At 35.8% G+C, this 16,638-nt stretch overlaps 1 protein-coding gene across 32 annotated transcripts in view, besides 1 other annotated feature; it reads left to right on the top strand.

The window, feature by feature from the left end:
- ATOSA (atos homolog A) overlaps positions 1-16,638 on the top strand; it is a 128,495-nt gene that overhangs the window by 93,714 nt on the left and 18,143 nt on the right. For 20 of the 32 annotated variants that reach the window (NR_169538.1, NR_104457.2, NR_169551.1 and 17 more), the window contains 7 exons: positions 2,245-2,429; positions 4,325-4,527; positions 4,847-4,972; positions 5,719-7,534; positions 10,856-10,969; positions 14,937-15,016; positions 15,867-15,975. Coding sequence is in view for 21 of the 32 variants with exons in the window: in XM_047432861.1 (XP_047288817.1) it covers positions 2,245-2,429; positions 4,325-4,527; positions 4,847-4,972; positions 5,719-7,534; positions 10,856-10,969; positions 14,937-15,016; positions 15,867-15,975 (2,633 nt within the window). In the remaining 11 variants the exon portion in view is untranslated. Of the gene's footprint in view, positions 1-2,244; positions 2,430-4,324; positions 4,528-4,846; positions 4,973-5,697; positions 7,535-10,020; positions 10,051-10,855; positions 10,970-14,936; positions 15,017-15,866; positions 15,976-16,638 lie in introns of all 32 variants that reach the window. The other 12 variants (NR_169544.1, NR_169545.1, NR_169549.1 and 9 more) reach the window with 7 other exon arrangements.
- Positions 3,505-4,004: an enhancer, noted in NCBI's record as "H3K27ac hESC enhancer chr15:52904295-52904794 (GRCh37/hg19 assembly coordinates)". NCBI's record gives its function as "activates a minimal SCP1, AML or CMV promoter by ChIP-STARR-seq in primed H9 embryonic stem cells {active_cell/tissue: H9 hESC(primed)}" and the evidence as "EXISTENCE:reporter gene assay evidence [ECO:0000049][PMID:30033119]".

Genomic DNA, 16,638 nt, shown 5'->3' with positions numbered 1-16,638 from the left:
GTGTCTACTACTCTGAGAATGTTTAAAGTGTATGATCCATGTATTTTTTAACCTGGGGATGTATGATAAACTGGATGAATTGACTGGGAATAGTACTAGAGTCCAGGTTCTGGAGCTAAACTGTCCAGCTTCAAAATTCAACTTTGCTACTTCCTAGCTGGATGATCTTGGGCAAATTACTTAACCTCTCCATGCTTCATTTATCTGAAAAATAGAAGTAATAGTCCTCACCTTCTAGAGCTGTTCTGAGGATTAAATCAGTTGACGTGTAGAAGGTACTTAGAACTGACAGTGATAAGTTACCAAATGTCAGCTGTCATTTTATATGTTCCAAATGGTCACTTTAGAGAAACTTTTCTGAATGGTCTTAAAATACCAGTTTAATAAAGTTTACTCCCAAGGCTTCTTCCTTTCCTGATAAGCCTTCCTGAAGCTGGAAAAGAGCATTCTTCATCATACCCTTCAAAGCTATTCATAAGCTGGCTCCAGTCTTTCTTTTTGCATACTTTTCTCTACATGAGATCTCTGCTCAAATTGCACCTTCTCTCTTCCCATTCCATGCTGCATGGTTCTGTTTGTTTTTAAAATTCTTTGAATTGTAAAGGTTTCAAAACTAGGAACTATGTGCATACGACTCTGTGTCCTCCTATTACCTGAGGTATAATAGGCACTTGAAATATTTGTTGCTTGATTGGCCGAGATAAGAGCAACTTTTTGTACAACAAATTGTACAACAAATTGAATAGTGTGTGCACTTTTGTGTATGAATGTTCAACTTGTATAGCAAGTTAACAGTTTTTAAAATTAGCTGTTAAAAAACTAAGAGCACTCATGAGAAATATTTAAATTACCATAACTACGTGAAAAAAATCCACAGATTAGATTGTTTGAAACTGTAATAACCAGAATACCACACTCCACATATTGCAAATCAGGCTTTGTGCCGCTGCTGGATAATAGCATTTCTTCCTTAGAAATTGTTATTACTATATAGTAAAAGCACAGAGGACCCCATGACTATGAATTTTCATGTCACGGAATTAGTGCTGTGAGACTAAGGAACTAGTAAAGGGAGGGGGAGAGAAAGAGAAACATGCAGTTGGATCTGTATCTTTTTCTAATATGTAAATAATAGCAATAGAACATCTTAGCTAAAAATATGACATAAGACATTTTAACCTTTTAGCTATTAGTGATGATTTGTGTGCAAAAACTATTGTACCTGACATCCAAAAATATTAATTTTTTTTTTTTGAGACAAAGTCTTGCTCTGTCGCCCAGGCTGGAGTGCAATGGGGTGATCTTGGCTCACCGCAACCTCCATCTCCCGTGTTCAAGAGATTCTCCTGCCTCAGCCTCCTGAGTAGCTGAGATTACAGACATGCGCCACCACACCCAGCTGATTTTTGTATTTTTAGTAGAGACTGGGTTTCACCATGTTGGTAAGGCTTGTCTCAAATTCCCGACCTCAGGTGATCTGCCCACCTCGGCCTCCCAAAGTGCTGGGATTACAGGCATGAGCCACCACGCCCGGCCCGAAAATATAATTATTATAGGCTATAAAGTTAACAATAGATATCTCTGAATAATGAGTTGTTTTTGTCTTACTCTCTGAATTTTATAAATTTCTCAGAAAATGTGTCACTTTTTAATTAGAAAAGTAAGCTACCACACCTGACCCAAAAATGTAATTATAGGCCAGGCTCAGTGGCTCATGCCTGTAATCCCAGCACATTGGGAGGCCGAGGCGGGTGGATCACCGGAGGTCAGGAGTTCGAGACCAGCCTGACCAACATGGCAAAACCCCTTCTCTACTAAAAATACAAAAAATAGCCATGCGTGGTGGCACATGCCTGTAATCCCAGCTACTTGGGAGGCTGAGGCAGGAGAATCGCTTGAACCCAGGAGGCGGAGGTTGCAGTGAGCCGAGATTGCGCCATTGCACTCCAGCCTGGACAAAAAGAATGAAACTCTGTTTCAAAAATAATAGTAATTATTATTATTAATTATATTACAATTATAATTAATATACCAGTTCAACTAGAATTTGGAATTATCCATCATCTCCTCACTTCTGTAGTTTGTGAATCAAAAGTTTAGTATATTTTGATTCTCATTTTTATTATTTTCACTCTATGTTAAATGAATAATGTGTAATGTGACATTAGTTATTTTAGGCAGACCAGATGAGTTCTTACTAAGAGTACATTAAATTGAGGACCCTTTGCCCCTTTTTTATATCAGATACTCTGGATGAATATTTTGAATATGATGCAGAGGAGTTCTTGGTCTCTTTGGCCTTGCTGATAACAGAAGGACGAACACCTGAATGTTCTGTAAAAGGTCGAACAGAAAGCTTTCATTGCCCTCCAGCACAGTCTTGTTACCCAGTAACTACCAAACATGAATGTAGTGACAAGCTGGCCCAGGTGAGAATCTTGTGTTGAATGCTTTGTATCTTTTATATAAACTAGTTTATGTTCATCATCACCTTTATTTTATTACAGTTATAATTGTCATATTTCAATGTAAAATTGATCATAATCATAAAGGGAAAAAATCCAAATCCTGGACCATAGCTAATAACCTTGGCTCTCAAATGAGGCTCTTGAAGGCATTGCAGGTAACTCTGCTGATCAGTGGGGAAGTGGGCACCCAATTTCATACCTGCTGTCTCATAAGCTAGATTTAAGACTATCTCTGCTGTTGGATTTTACTTTATTTATTTATATATTTGAGACGGAGTCTCGCTCTGTTGCCCAGGCTGGAGTGCAGTGGCGCGATCTTGGCTCACTGCAACCTCCACCTCCCGGGTTCAAGCAATTCTTCTGTCTCAGCCTCCTGAGTAGCTAGGACTACAGGTGCGTGCCACCACACCAGGCTAATTTTTGTATTTTTAGTAGAGGCGGTGTTTTGTCATATTGGCCAGACTGGTCTTGAACTCCTGACCTCATGATCCGCCCTCCTCAGCCTCCCAAAGTGCTGGGATTACAGGCATGAGCCAGGACGCCCCGTCTGCTTTATTTTGAGAATCTCAGCCCTGGCTCATCCACTTTGTGTTGTTATTCATTTGGTAAATTGATGTTGTTATGATTATTTTCCCTGCATTAACCAATTTCCCTTTTGTATTCCTTTTTTTTTTTAAATGGGAAGATATTTTTTGTTAATGTTTTTGTGTAACATTGTTCAAAATATTTTGGTGTAGTAGCATATAATTTGCTTTAAGAATTTTTCTCCCACTTATTAGTTTCTCAAATGTGATCCAAAATTGTAAACTCTAAAAATCGTGTCTATTTTGAGGCTGGGCGCAGTGGTTCACGCCTGTAATCCCAGCATTTTGGGAAGCTGAGGAGGGTGCATCACGAGGTCAGGAGTTCAAGACCAGCCTGGCCAACACAGTGAAACCTCATCTCTACTAAAAATACAAAACTTCGCTGGGTGTGGTGGTGGGTGCCTGTAATCTCAGCTACTCGGGAGGCTGAGGCAGGAGATTCGCTTGAACCCAGGAGGCAGAGGTTGCAGTGAGCCAAGATGGTGCCATTACACTCCAGCCTGGGAGACAAGAGTGAGACTCCATCTCAAAAAAAAAAAAAAAAAAGATCTTGTTTATTTTGAGCGTTTAATGAAAATGAGTTTTTAATATTTTGGTGTTCGGATTTAAGAAGTAATCTTTCCTGTGAAATGATGAAATTAATAAAGTAGGCAAGGCTGGGCCAACTCAGAGGCCTGTCAGACATTGGATGTAGCAGTTCTTTTTCCACAAGGTAGAGCAAAGATACACTCCTCAAGAAAATTTGCATTATAAATGTTCAATACAGCAGGGGCACTGTGGCTCATTCCTGTAATCCCAGCACTTTGTGAGGCCAAGGTGGGCAGATCACCTGAGGTTAGGAGTTTGAGATCAGCCTGGCCAACATGGAGAAGCCCTGTCTCTACTAAAAGTATAAAAATTAGTCTGGCGTGCTGGCGGGCACCTGTAATCCCAGCTACTTGAGAGGCTGAGGCAGGAGAATCGCTTGAACCTAGGAGGCAGAGGTTGCAGTGAGCCGAGACTGCACCACTGCCCTCCAGCCTGGGCGACAGAGCAAGTCTCAGTCGCAAAAAAAATAAAATAAATGTTCATTACTAATCCTTGCACTCTAGAGCTCACTAAGCATAGATCCGTTATTAAATGAGGAAACCTAGATAGCCAATTCTGAGCAAAGCTCTGCAATAGCTGACTCATTTCTCACACAGATGTCTACTTTACAATGATAATTTTCTATTTTAAACACAAAATTAGGTGGGTTTTTGAGACATTTTGCTTATATTCATTTTCTCTAAGTGCCGCCAAGCCAGACGAACTAGGTCTGAGGTCACATTGTTGTGGAAGAATAACCTTCCAATCATGGTGGAAATGATGCTACTACCAGACTGCTGCTACAGCGATGATGGGCCCACCACAGAGGGAATTGATCTAAATGATCCTGCGATTAAGCAAGATGCATTATTATTAGAAAGATGGATCTTGGAGCCAGTTCCTCGACAGTAAGTTGTTGAACGTAGTTCAAAGTTGTTCTTGGTAAATCAAGTTTTCCATTACTTCTTATAAATTATTTTAATGTATCATGTCTTTGAATTCCTCTATGTAATAAAATTGAGATAGTATTTATATTTGGCACTAAAATGAGTAAATATAGTACTTGCATTTAGTAATTGTGACTTCAAGTGACATCGTAAGTGTATTCCTATGCTCTTCAAAGCACAAATCCTGAGTGATAAGTTTATGGATCTCAGCTTCTGCCATTCTAAAATTCAGTCATTTTGTACTTGCCTACATTTAAATTATGCTTTGTTACTTCCTTAGGAATGGTGACCGATTTATTGAAGAGAAGACGCTTCTGTTGGCTGTCCGCTCATTTGTGTTTTTTTCTCAGTTAAGTGCATGGCTGAGTGTTTCTCATGGTGCTATTCCACGAAATATTCTCTACAGGTATGTCTAGGGCCAAAAAAAAAGGACAGTGCGTATTCAGCCACCTTGGTTAGCAACCGAATGGCATTTTACCTTTTAAATAGATTATTTCCTGCAATTCTAAATGTAAGTGGATAAAATTTACTGAGGTTTTTCAAAACAAGTTAGAGAGATTTGGATTGACTCAATATGAATTTTGTTTGTTGTATTAAATTTGGTATGAATAATATCAAGAGAACTTTTAAGCTTACTTTAGAGAACCAATGGACTTAATGCTGCTATTATAAAGTAGAAAAGTTTTCTGAGCTGCTGAATTTTTATGTTTGACTTAATTTTTGGCATCTTGGATAATGTAAACATATAGGCTGCTAAACAGCTAACTGGCTTTTTAGGCAGATGGCCATGAGATAGGGTGTCTCTTAATCACCTTGCACAATGGAATTAGCTGAATCCATTTATGTGCTAGCAATTACAAAGTCCTTTTTTCTGTTTTAACAAATATTTTTAAGTTATAATATTCTTGAGCTTTAATGCTTAAGTGATCTGGTGTTCTTAAAAAGATCATCTCTTCCAAGCATAAGCTATTATATCACTTACATTGGTTTTATCAGAATTATATGCATGGTAAAGTGGCTAAAAGTAAACCTCAGTGGTAATTAACGCAAACAAAAATAAGTGTATGACTGCTTTACATTTAAAATAATATACAATAATAAGGATCTAACCTTTATAATCCAATAATACAGTATTTTTCTGTGTGATTCTAGAATCAGTGCTGCTGATGTAGACCTACAGTGGAATTTTTCACAGACTCCAATTGAGCATGTGTTTCCTGTTCCCAATGTTTCTCACAATGTTGCCTTGAAAGTCAGTGTTCAGTCCTTGCCCAGACAATCTAATTATCCAGTTTTGACGTGCAGTATTCACACTAATATTGGCCTTTATGAGAAAAGAATTCAACAACATAAACTTAAAACTCATCAGCACCATAACCCAAATGAAGCAGAACAATGTGGTACAAACAGTTCACAGCGTCTGTGTAGCAAACAAACTTGGACCATGGCACCTGAAAGTGTGTTACATGCAAAAAGTGGCCCAAGTCCAGAATATACTGCAGCTGTCAAAAATATCAAACTATATCCAGGCACTGGCAGTAAATCTGACCATGGGACATCTCAAGCCAATATTCTAGGCTTTAGTGGTATAGGTGATATAAAATCACAAGAAACATCAGTGAGAACTTTAAAATCATTTTCAATGGTTGATTCCAGTATCTCTAACCGCCAGAGTTTCTGGCAGTCAGCTGGTGAGACTAACCCTTTAATAGGCTCTTTAATTCAGGAGCGGCAAGAAATCATTGCAAGAATTGCCCAACATTTGATTCATTGTGATCCAAGCACTTCACATGTTTCTGGACGTCCATTTAATACTCAAGAGTCTAGTTCACTCCATTCAAAACTTTTCCGGGTTTCACAAGAAAATGAGAACGTGGGAAAAGGTAAAGAAGCTTTCTCCATGACTTTTGGTAGTCCAGAGTTTAGTTCCCCAGAAGACACCAATGAGGGGAAAATTCGACTAAAACCAGAAACTCCTCGAAGTGAAACTTGTATTTCTAATGACTTTTATTCTCATATGCCTGTTGGAGAGACTAATCCTTTGATAGGCTCTTTACTCCAGGAGCGGCAAGATGTTATTGCAAGGATTGCTCAACACTTGGAGCACATTGATCCAACAGCATCACATATCCCCCGGCAGTCATTCAACATGCATGACTCCAGTTCGGTTGCATCTAAAGTGTTTAGGAGTTCATATGAAGACAAAAATTTGTTGAAGAAAAATAAGGATGAGTCCTCAGTTTCCATTTCTCACACAAAATGTTCCTTGTTAGGAGACATCAGTGATGGGAAAAACTTAGTACCTAATAAATGTTTTACTTCTTTTAAAAATAATAGTAAAGAAAAGTGTTCTTTGAAACATCAAACAAGAAATCAGTGTCAGAACAATCCTAGTGAAATCATCCAAAGTACGTATCAGGAGACACAGAACAAAAGTTCTAGTTTATCAACTTCCTCAATTTTGTCTCAGCACAAAGAAAATAACTTAGATTTGACAAGCAGATTCAAGGAGCAAGAAATGAGCAATGGAATTGATAAACAGTATTCAAATTGCACCACTATTGACAAACAGATTTGTACAAATAAGTATAAGGAAAAAATAATAAATGAGAACTATAATCCAAAATTCTTTGGCAATCTTCAGTCTGATGATTCCAAAAAAAATGACTCAAAAATAAAAGTTACTGTGTTGGAAATGTCTGAATATTTGAACAAATATGAAAGCATGTCCTCAAATAAAGACTCAAAAAGGCCTAAGACATGTGAGCAAAATACTCAACTTAATAGCATAGAGAATTATCTCAATAAAGATAATGAAGGTTTCAAATGTAAAAAGTCAGACCAATTAAAAAATGAACAAGATAAGCAAGAAGATCCAACTAATGAAAAATCCCAAAACTATTCTCAGAGAAGAAGTATAAAAGACTGTTTGTCTACATGTGAGCAACCAAAAAATACAGAGGTATTGGTAAGTAACATCTAATATGTCAAATGTAAGTCTCAAATATTTGTTATGGTTTAAATTTTGTTCACAGGAGATCTGGTTATAAAGGCCCAAGGTTCCATTATCTATAGGACACACAGTCTGATAGAATAATAAACCTACAGAACTAGTATTAACATCCTTGCAAATAACCCACTCTCCTAAGAACAAATGCTAAGTAAATGGAGGAAATAAAGATCATGCTGTTTAAAAAATAGGAAGTGGTACCTTTTTAAAAAACTGTTAATAGGACAGTAATTGTTTTCATGACATGTTAGGTCTATTATTTAGGTCTTTTAGCTCTGTTCTCCCCCTGCTCCCCCATCTTAAAGGCCTCTTTTTCTTCTAGTCAGAAGCACCCAGGCCAGGCACAATGGCTCACAGCCTATAATTGCAACACTTTGGGAGGCCAAGGCAGAAGGATCACTTGAGCTCAGGAGTTGGAGACTAGCCTGGGCAACATAGTGAGACTCTGTCTCTACAAAAAAAAATAAATAAATAAAAATTGGCCAGGCATGGTGGTACATGCCTGTAGGCCCAACTGTTTGGGAGGCTGAGGTGGGGGAATCACTTGAGCCCAGGAGTTGAAGGTTGCAGTGAACTATGATTGTGCCACTGCATTCCAGTGTGGGCAACAGAGTGAGACCCTGTTTCAAAAAAACAGAAACAGAAAAAAACCAACCAACCAAAACAGAAGCACTCAGCTTTTTAATATTTGATTTGTAATTTCAAGAGAATGAATACTATATAATATTTATAAAATACTACTTGGATTTTGTATATTGCTTGTATATAACGTTCAGTTATATTACATATTAGGTTTCTGCAAAAGTAGTTGAAGTTTTTGCCATTGAAAGTAATGGCAAACCTCAGTTACTTTTGCACCAACCTAATAGGGTACTTGGTTCTTTTTGATACTTCACCATATGGGACAGGTAGGACAGTTATGAGGAAACTAGGACTCAAAGAGAATGACATACCAGTAGCTGTACAAAGTCCTTAGTGATTCAACTGGCGCCCCCACCCCAGTCTCTTGACTCCTAATCCAGGCTCCTTTCTACTACCTCACAATAATCAAGGACAAATTTGTGGACTGTACAAGTCCTTGGTTCATTCCTCTTGTTTAGAAAATGAATTAATTCCTCCTGTTGCCCTTTTTTGTTTATTTCAGTACTTATAAACAATTCTTAGAGCAAAAACAGTCAGAAATCAAATTTGTATTAGCTTAATGTATTATTTGTTAGCAGGTCAGACCCAATATTAGCGGTGTGCCCATTGTGCTATGCCATTGGTCAGTTAATGACTTTCAAAGTGTCTATAGGGAAACCACCAAGTTACTGGTCAAAACACCTGAGTTCTAGTCCTGGCTTCATAGTTTAGGCCTTAAGTGACCGTAAATAAGTCGTATTACTTATAAAAACCTGTTTCCTCAATTTTACAAGACTCATGATTAATCTCTTTTGCCTATCTTAGAGTGGTGATAATCAAACAATTTATAAATATTTTGTAGACCTTAATGTACTATATACATAAAAGATATTTTAAGTTATTTTCATTTCATTTGATTTCCTACCAAACCACCTTTTAATTTCTAAAAATCATTAGGCTTCACTTTCCTTTACTTTTCCAAGCAGTATCTCAATTATATGGAAAATTTCTTCTGAAGTACCTTGATCCAAGTCTAAATGACCTAAGTTTGTCTTCTTTATCACTCAAATTAGCTTTCCTGGACAGAGTTTTAAAATTTTGCCATGTTTCCAGTTTATATTTTTCTTCAGAAGATCTCGCTCTAACATGGGGTTTAATCAAATGGTAGTTTCCAATTTTCTAAAAGTATAATTGTCACAAAAACCTACACTGGCCTTAAGAATGTTCGGTTCTTATGATCTTTTCTGTTATCTAATAGGGAGGCTTAAATCTGGCCGTGATATTTTTCAAGCCCACTAAGGTTCATTTTTTTCATGTACCTGTTTTAAATGTAATAAACAATTTACTGTGTGCCCCTTCTGAATATTTTACACATGTTGGCTTACTTAATCCCTCTCACTTTGATATGAAGGTAGGTGCTTTTACTAACTCCAGTTTACAAATGAGGACCTTGAGCTAGGGAAACTATAAAACTTGCCAGGGTCACAAAGCTAATAAATGGTAGAGCCAAGACCCAGAATAGTCTTTTATAATTTTTATTCATGTAATTTTTATGAATTTCTGATCTTTGGGTATAAACTTCTCCAGTCCTTAAGAATTAGCCTGTTTCTTGTATCACGTCAAAAACATAGTGCTGTGACTGCATTATATATAATTTTTAATTTACAGTGTTTCTTATATTTCTGTATCATGTTCCACCAAATTATATCATCTGAAAATGGTTCTTAATATTGACATAGTTTTATATTTTACAATATTATATGAATTTTTCCTGTGAGTACAGTAGTCGCCCCTTATCCACGGTTTCCTTTCCATGGTTTCAGTTACTCATGGTCAACCAGGTCACAAAATAGGTGAGTACAGTACAATAAGATACTTTGAAAGAGAGAAAGACTACATTCACATAACTTTTATTATGGCATATTATTATAATTGTATTTTATTATTATCATTAATCTCTTATTGTACCTAATTTATAAATTAAACTTTAGGATAGGTATGTATAGGAAAAAATATATATATTGTTTTGTACTACACGTGGTTTCAGGCATCCACTGGGGTTCATGGAATATATCCCCTGAGAATAAGAGGGGACTACCATAGTAGTTTTTTCACAAATTGAAATAATCAGGTATTAGTTTGCTAGATGATAAATTCTGAACAAATATGACCATATAAAGCATTTACATTTGGACATGTTTTCTTTAGAACTTAATTTATTCAGCATATTACAGTAACCATTTTAGACATTGTTTTCCAATTGGTATATATATATTGTGTGTAAACATAAGATGTAGATACACAGTTTGAGCATCCCAAATTTGAAATGTTCGAAAATCCCAAACTTTTTGATTGCTGACAAGGTGCTCAAAGGAAATTTTCATCGGAATGTTTCAGATTTGGGATTTTTGCATTTGGGGTGATTAACCAGTAAAGTATATATGATGCAAATACTCCAAAATCAGAAAAAAAATCCAAACTTCTAAACACTTCTAGTCCCCAAGTATTTTGGATAAGGGATATCCCACCTGTATATCACCAGCTTCACCAGCAATACCTCAGAATGTATTAGGAATGAGTCTAAAAACAAAAACACTGTCCAAGTTCTTTAAATGGTATTTAAATATTACAATTAACATCTAATTATTTTCCTAACAGAGGACTACACTGAAACATTCAAATGTGTGGCGAAAACATAATTTTCATTCCTTGGATGGAACTTCAACCAGAGCCTTTCATCCTCAAACTGGATTGCCTCTTCTTTCAAGCCCTGTAAGCATTTTTTTTCTTATCTCATGCTTAGAACTTACATACATCTGAAAGGTTTACAAATAATTTCATTCAAATTTTAATTGAAAAAAATTTAAATATCTTTAAATTTCCAGTAAGGAAACATTTTATTTTTTGATAACACATTTTACAGCTATGTGATAATACAGGAAAAGACAAAAATGTGAATAAAAATGAAATTTATTAGTTATAAAATTTATCTGAAATTCTTTTGCCTCAAATTGTAACTGTTACTAGATGTGAAAAAAACAAAAACCATCAAGTGGATTTGTGTCTTACTGATACCACTAACTGGGTCATCTGCAAGTTAAAACTATTGCTGTTTTTGATTTGGAATCCCTTCACTTAATCATCTTGAGACATATAAATCTCTCCACTCCTCAATTACTAATAGATTTAGAGATCTGAGTGCAGTGGTTAAAAGCATCACTTTGGAGTCACACTGAATTCCCCCTAGTTATGCAACACAATCTCTTGGAGTCTCAGTTTCCTCATATGTAAATCAGGATGATAATGTCTACCTTAGTGTTGTGAGGATGGTTAGTATCATCCCTCTTGCATGTAAGCAGTCAGTAGTTAGTTGGTATGGCTACCATTTCAGTTAAACTTGAGGCAAGCAGTAAATTGTATAGCAGAACTAAAAATCCGTGTAATTTGCCACAAACGTATTTTTAGTTGTATGTGTTTTTTAGTAACTAAAAGAATACAGTATCTCGCGTATGTTCAAAAAATAATTATTGAACAATAGATGTAGAATTTAAATGTATAACTTGGAGCTCAGTCTTCTATTTTAGAAAAGTTGAAGTCCAAACAACTTTAAAAAATTCCAAATGGATTTTGTTGTTTTTTGTATTTTTAGTAGAGACGGGGTTTCACCGTGTTAGCCAGGATGTTCTCGATCTCTTGACCTCGTGATCCGCCCGCCTCCGCCTCCCAAAGTGCTGGGATTACAGGCGTGGGCCACGGCGCCCGGCCATGTTTTTTCAAATTCTTATGGGTACATAATAGTTGTATATATTTACAGGGTACGTGTGATGTTTTGATACAGGCATACAATGTGTAATAATCAAATCGGAGTAAATGGATTATCTATCACTTCAAGGCTTTATCATTTCTTTGTGTTAGGAACCTTCCTATTTCACTCTTACTTTTAAATATACGATAAATTATTGTTAACTTTAGTCACCCTGTTTTGCTACCAAATACTAGATCTTATTCATTGTGTCCAACAGTGTTTTTGAACCCATTAACCATTCCCACTTTATCCCTCCCTCCTCACAACTCTTCCAAGCCTCTGGCAACCATCCTTATACCCTTTATCTTCATTAGTTCAAATGTGTTTGTTAAGCTCCCCCATATGAGTGAGAACATGGAATATTTGTCTTTCTTGCCTGGCCTATTTCACTTAGCATAATGTCCTTCAGTTTCATTCATATTGTTGCAAATGACAGGATTTCATTCCTCTTATGGCTGAATAATATTCCATTGTGTATATACTACATTTTCTTCATTCATCTATTGATGGACACTTAGGTTGCTTCCATATCTTGGCTGTTGCAAATGGTGCTGCACTAAACATTGGAGTGCAGCTATCTCTTTAATATACTAATTTCCCTTTTTTTTCCTTAAGATATATGCCCAGCAGTGGGATTGCTGGGTCATATAGTAGTTCTATTTTTAGTTTTTTGAGGAACTTCCATAGTCTTCTCCACAGTAGCTGTACTAATTTACATTCCCACTAACAGTGTATGAGGGTTTCCCTTTTGTTCCATCGTTGCCAGCATCCGTTATTGCCTGTCTTTTGGATAGAAGTCATTGTAACTGGAGTGAGACAACATCTCATTATGGTTTTAATTTGCATTTCTCTGATTAGTGGTGTTGAGCATTTTTTCATATATCTGTTGGCCATTTGCATATTGTCTTTTGAGAAACGTCTGTTCAGATTTTTTTTGTCCATTTTAAAATAAAAACTCCAAATGTTTGACCTACCTAAGAGGTGATTTAAAATGCCCAAGTGATCAGGGAAGAAATTTTCAGCGTCTTGCTGGTGTAAAAAGCACCACAGACTTCTGGTCAATATGGTAGACTAAGTCAATACAGGAAGACATTTGCCCCTTCCCCCACACAGAGATTCTGGAAGAAGTATAACTTCCAAATGCATAATGTTATGTAAGAGCAAGAAAGAAAAATTCCCAAGGTGTAACCTGGGGCAAATTTTGGTCCGCTAGGATATTTGAACCTAAAATAGCACTAGGGTTCAGTTCCCCTGCTGAGAACAGGAATCAAGGCTGCAAGTCTGTAACAATCTTATCTGAGACCAGATTCTTCATAAAGCCAGGCACAGGGAAGACTGGCCTTCTATAAATGAGAGAGGGGGAAAATGTATCCATCTATTTACTCGGGTGGAGTAGTACATGGGAGAAAAAGAAGCACCTGAAAGAAATTGTACCTAAATCTAAGCCACACATGGTAGGGGTTCTGAATTTATACTACCTATGAGATTCAGAGATGTCTAGCTAAGAAATAGCCATAAAAACTAAATTGGAACCCATGAAATCCATCTAGTATTAGTAGGGGAAACATGAAACTATCCCACATCTATAACCCAGGGCAGTGAGGATTTATTTTTATAGCAAATACGTCTTACTGAAGATGACCTTAGAGGAAAAAAAATTACAAAGCACCTTAAAAGAATCAGCAGGAGCAAGAAATGGGAGGATGCACATATAGGAACTCTGTTATCAGAGCAATTTGAGAGTTAAAAATAACTGTTTAAAGTATTCTGGGAGATAGATGAAGGCAAAGATAGGGAATTTAGATGAAAGAATGTGGATTTGAACTAAATAGAAATTCTAGATATGAAAAATGCATGAAGTGTATACACACACATGCATACACATACAGATGAATTAAACAGCAAACTAGGATCGGCTCAATAGAGATTTTGTGAGTGAGTAGACAAATATTTAGGAAGCACCTAGAATGAAGCACAAAAGGGAAGAGAAATAGTAAAATACGAAAAAGCCATAAAGAGAATGAGATGTTCAATGTAAGTCTGGTAGAAGTTTAAAAAGAAGGACTAAATAGAATAAGAAAATGCAATATTAGAAATGAAGGCAGAGAACTTTCCAGAATTGAAGACATGAGGGTTTAGATTGAAAATTTCACAATAAGTTCTTACTACAGTAAATAACATGGTACACTTGTACAACTCTCCAAAATGTCGAGGTGGTTTAAATTTTCAGTGTCATCTGTTTCTTCAGTCACTAATTAGACCAGAGAGTCAGGTACACATATTTAATATTCTAGAAACAAAACTGTCTAACTTGTATATGATTTTACCTTTAATTAACATTTAGGTCTTTGATTTTAGGATATTTTGAGCTAGGTGGTGTTTTGCTTTAAATGTAATCTGGTATACAGTGATGGTTGAAAACCTAGGAGCATAGTACTTTTCAAATCTATTCTCTGTAAAGCATTAGGATGCTTGGAAATGTTGCAGTAGGTGGAATGGGCAAAGCGTGGGCAGTGCTGGTGGGGCCTCAGGCTCCTATCTCTATTCGGTTTTCTTTTTTTTTTTTTTTTCCTTTTTAAGTTGGAAGTGTTTCCCACCTCCCAAAAAAATAGAGAAGTATACAAAAAAGCAAAATGTTCCTTATATTATATATTGGAATTCCATGCAGGGTTTGGTTTTGGAAAAAAATGTTTCTGCTTCTTAAAAAATCAAAACCTAGTAAAAGTGCTTTTATTTGTCATCTGTTTTTTCAACACTAATAAAATAACATAAGAACAATATGTAATGAACAGCATGATTTTAAATAAGCTATTATAGGAGAAGTTGTAATATTTCAAAGATATGCTTAAATTTCATTTAAAAAGTGTTTTATCAATTCAAGAAAAAAATTAACAGTTTTTTTTTTAATATCACAAATGATCGTTTTGACCTTAGGTTCCTCAAAGAAAAACACAATCAGGTTGCTTTGATCTGGATTCTTCATTACTACATCTGAAAAGCTTCTCATCTAGAAGGTATTTATCTCAAAATTCATTTGTGTGTTTCAAACAGAATTTCACAAAATTCTGGTCTTTAACAATAAATAATGTTGATTCTAAACATCAGAATTGTAACAGGAATCTTATTTAGAGTATGATACCATGTACACACGCAGTTATTAAGGATGAGTGTGGAAGAAATTAAGGCAATGAGTAGCAACTATATAGTGGTCATCATAATAAACTCTTACATTGGTTTTAAGTGGTTTTATATATTTCTAGTTATTAACCTCTACTACCTTTTACTCTTTGACGGAAAAAAAAAAAACAACCTTGGCCATTTTTTTCCGTGTTGGCAAATAATACTCTGATTATAATCTTTAGTCACACAATTTTGCCCTTGTATTCTCATTCTTAACTGAAAATAAGATTGATATAGAAGTCTGCATTATTATTTATTTCCAGTAGATGCCACTATGTGATATGTTCTAAATTCCACCTCGAAACCTTTTAGGATGTGTGTATGTGTGTTTATAAAATATAAAATATAAAGAAAGATAAAATCTGGGAATTTAAAACTTGAAATTTTATATTTTAAAATTTGATAACATTAATTTATTATGGTAGTTTGAGTAGAGTTCAGATTTTCTTAATTTTGTACAAAAGTAAATAATATTGTGCCTTGGCTTGGTGACTCACACCTGTAGTCTCCAGCACTTTGGGAGGCTGAGGCAGGAGGATTGCCTGAAGCCAGGAGTTTGAGCTGTATGAGCTATGATGGTGCCACTGTACTCCCGCCTGGGTGACAGAGTGAGACCCTGTCTCAAGATTAAAAAAAAAAGTATTGTGGCTAATGTGTTCTTTTGCTGATTTGTTTTTCTAATAGTCCTCGACCATGTTTAAACATTGAAGATGATCCAGATATTCATGAAAAACCATTTTTGAGTTCTAGTGCTCCACCTATAACAAGTCTTAGTCTCCTAGGAAATTTTGAGGTAATGTGCTTTGAAACTGTTCTTTAAATGAAAATTTTATACCCTAGGTTCTAGGGTGTCATTTTATATGTCTTTAACTTTGGTTGTGAAAAGGAAAGAAATAATTGTCTTTTTTCAAGCCTTGAAATTACCTTTTTATTTTATTTTCACAAGAAGGGAAATCAGAATTGTTGGCAGTGATGTCTTAGAATTGGATAGCTGGTAGTGGAGAAGAGAAGACCTGATGAAATCAGGTTGGATTGAGGAATCTGTTACTTAAGCCGGGAGCATAGATTTGACCACATCTTCTTACTTGGTAAAATTGGGTCTAGGACCCAGAGAAAATAGTGGTGGGCTAATAGCAGCCCCCTCATAATCAGGGAAGTTGATTTGCAAAACCAAAAGGTTTTCTGTACTTTATTTGCAACTTTTTTGTAAATCTGCAGCTATTCTAAAGTAACAAGGTTATTTTTTAAAAATTCAAATAAAGATTTCTGATATGTTTACTCACAATATTTCTACTTGGGGTCAAGTAGAAATCATGGGTTTCAATTGTCTGTAATTAGAAATCAGCTTAACCTTAAACACGAACTTGTAAATGACATTTTTAAAGTGATTTTAACTGGTGAGTTTTTTAGGAGAAAATAATTAAAATTTTATATTTTTAAGATAAATAGTTTTACA

The sequence above is a fragment of the Homo sapiens genome, chromosome 15, assembly GCF_000001405.40.
Source record: "Homo sapiens chromosome 15, GRCh38.p14 Primary Assembly".
Classification (NCBI taxonomy): Eukaryota; Metazoa; Chordata; class Mammalia; order Primates; family Hominidae; genus Homo; species Homo sapiens.
Note: the sequence above shows the minus strand (reverse complement) of the source record. Positions and strands in the feature narration are given on the sequence as shown.